Here is a 2,747-nt window from a genome sequence, read left to right as displayed (position 1 = left end):
TTCACAACTACTATGTTAATTACTGAAATTAGTTAAAACCAAAAACAATTGAAACCTTATTCCTGCAGACTTGGGCAAGCGTAGAAAGAAAGTAGATAATTTAATAAGAACACACAGAAGATGGCCAAGTAGGAACAGCTCCAGTCTACAGCTCCCAGCGTGAGCGACGCAGAAGATGGGTGATTTCTGCATTTCCATCTGAGGTACCGGGTTCATCTCACTAGGGAGTGCCAGACAGTGGGCGCAGGTCAGTGGGTGCGTGCACCGCGCACGAGCCGAAGCAGGGCGAGGCATTGCCTCACTTGGGAAGTGCAAGGGGTCAGGGAGTTCCCTTTCTGAGTCAAAGAAAGGGGTGACGGATGGCACCTGGAAAATCGGGTCACTCCCACCCGAATACTGCGCTTTTCCAACGGGCTTAAAAAACGGCGCACCACGAGATTATATCCTGCACCTGGCTCGGAGGGTCCTACGCCCACGGAGTCTCGCTGATTGCTAGCACAGCAGTCTGAGATCAAACTGCAAGGCGGCAGCGAGGCTGGGGGAGGGGCGCCCGCCATTACCCAGGCTTGATTAGGTAAACAAAGCAGCCGGGAAGCTCCAACTGGGTGGAGCCCACCACAGCTCAAGGAGGCCTGCCTGCCTCTGTAAGCTCCACCTCTGGGGGCAGGGCACAGACAAACAAAAAGACAGCAGTAACCTCTGCAGACTTAAATGTCCCTGTCTGACAGCTTTGAAGAGAGCAGTGGTTCTCCCAGCATGCAGCTGGAGATCTGAGAATGGGCAGACTGCCTCCTCAAGTGGGTCCCTGGCCCCTGACCCCCAAGCAGCCTAACTGGGAGGCACCCCCCCTAGCAGGGGCACACTGACACCTCACACGGCAGGGTATTCCAACAGACCTGCAGCTGAGGGTCCTCTCTGTTAGAAGGAAAACTAACAGAAAGGACATCCACAGCAAAAACCCATCTGTACATCACCATCATCAAAGACCAAAAGTAGATAAAACCACAAAGATGGGGAAAAAACAGAACAGAAAAACTGGAAACTCTAAAAAGCAGAGCACCTCTCCTCCTCCAAAGGAACGCAGTTCCTCACCAGCAACGGAACAAAGCTGGATGGAGAATGACTTTGACCAGCTGAGAGAAGAAGGCTTCAGACAATCAAATTACTCTGAGCTACGGGAGGACATTTAAACCAAAGGCAAAGAAGTTGAAAACTTTGAAAAAAATTTAGAAGAATGTATAACTAGAATAACCAATACAGAGAAGCGCTTAAAGTTGCTGATGGAGCTGAAAACCAAGGCTCGAGAACTACGTGAAGAATGCAGAAGCCTCAGGAGCCGATGCGATCAACTGGAAGAAAGGGTATCAGCAATGGAAGATGAAATGAATGAAATGAAGCAAGAAGGGAAGTTTAGAGAAAAAAGAATAAAAAGAAATGAGCAAAGCCTCCAAGAAATATGGGACTATGTGAAAAGACCAAATCTACGTCTGACTGGTGTACCTGAAAGTGATGGGGAGAATGGAACCAAGTTGGAAAACACTCTGCAGGATATTATCCAGGAGAACTTCCCCAATCTAGCAAGGCAGGCCAACGTTCAGATTCAGGAAATACAGAGAATGCCACAAAGATACTCCTCGAGAAGAGCAACTCCAAGACACATAATTGTCAGATTCACCAAAGTTGAAATGAAGGAAAAAATGTTAAGGGCAGCCAGAGAGAAAGGTCGGGTTACCCTCAAAGGGAAGCCCATCAGACTAACAGCGGATCTCTCGGCAGAAACCCTACAAGCCAGAAGAGAGTGGGGGCCAATATTCAACAATCTTAAAGAAAAGAATTTTCAACCCAGAATTTCATATCTGGGTTGATATGCTTCATAAGTGAAGGAGAAACTTCACTAAGCTTCATAAGTGAAGGAGAAATAAAATACTTTACAGACAAGCAAATGCTGAGAGATTTTCTCACCACCAGGCCTGCCTTACAAGAGCTCCTGAAGGAAGCAGTAAACATGGAAAGGAACAACCAGTACCAGCCGCTGCAAAATCATGCCAAAATGTAAAGACCATCGAGACTAGGAAGAAACTGCATCAACTAATGAGCAAAATCACCAGCTAACATCATAATGACAGGATCAAATTCACACATAACAATATTATCTTTAATGTAAATGGACTAAATGCTCCAATTAAAAGACACAGACTGGCAAATTGGATAAAGAGTCAAGACCCATCAGTGTGCTGTATTCAGGAAACCCATCTCACGTGCAGAGACACACATAGGCTCAAAATAAAAGGATGCAGGAAGATCTACCAAGCCAATGGAAAACAAAAAAAAGGCAGAGGTTGCAATCCTAGTCTCTGATAAAACAGACTTTAAACCAACAAAGATCAAAAGAGACAAAGAAGGCCATTACATAATGGTAAAGGGATCAATTCAACAAGAAGAGCTAACTATCCTAAATATATATGCACCCAATACAGGAGCACCAAGATTCATAAAGCAAGTCCTGAGTGACCTACAAAGAGACTTAGACTCCCACACATTAATAATGGGAGACTTTAACACCCCACTGTCAACATTAGACAGATCAACGAGACAGAAAGTCAACAAGGATACCCAGGAATTGAACTCAGCTCTGCACCAAGCGGACCTAATAGACATCTACAGAACTCTCCATCCCAAATAAACAGAATATACATTTTTTTCAGCACCACACCACACCTATTCCAAAATTGACCACATACTGGGAA

The 2,747-nt window shown here is 45.4% G+C and overlaps 1 annotated feature.

The window, feature by feature from the left end:
- Nucleotides 423-996: an enhancer, noted in NCBI's record as "OCT4-NANOG-H3K27ac-H3K4me1 hESC enhancer chr6:74550244-74550817 (GRCh37/hg19 assembly coordinates)". NCBI's record gives its function as "activates a minimal SCP1, AML or CMV promoter by ChIP-STARR-seq in naive H9 embryonic stem cells {active_cell/tissue: H9 hESC(naive)}" and the evidence as "EXISTENCE:reporter gene assay evidence [ECO:0000049][PMID:30033119]".

The sequence above is a fragment of the Homo sapiens genome, chromosome 6 (assembly GCF_000001405.40).
Source record: "Homo sapiens chromosome 6, GRCh38.p14 Primary Assembly".
NCBI lineage: Eukaryota > Metazoa > Chordata > Mammalia > Primates > Hominidae > Homo > Homo sapiens.
The sequence above is the reverse complement of the archived record's forward strand: the minus strand, read 5'-3'. Positions and strand labels throughout refer to the sequence as shown.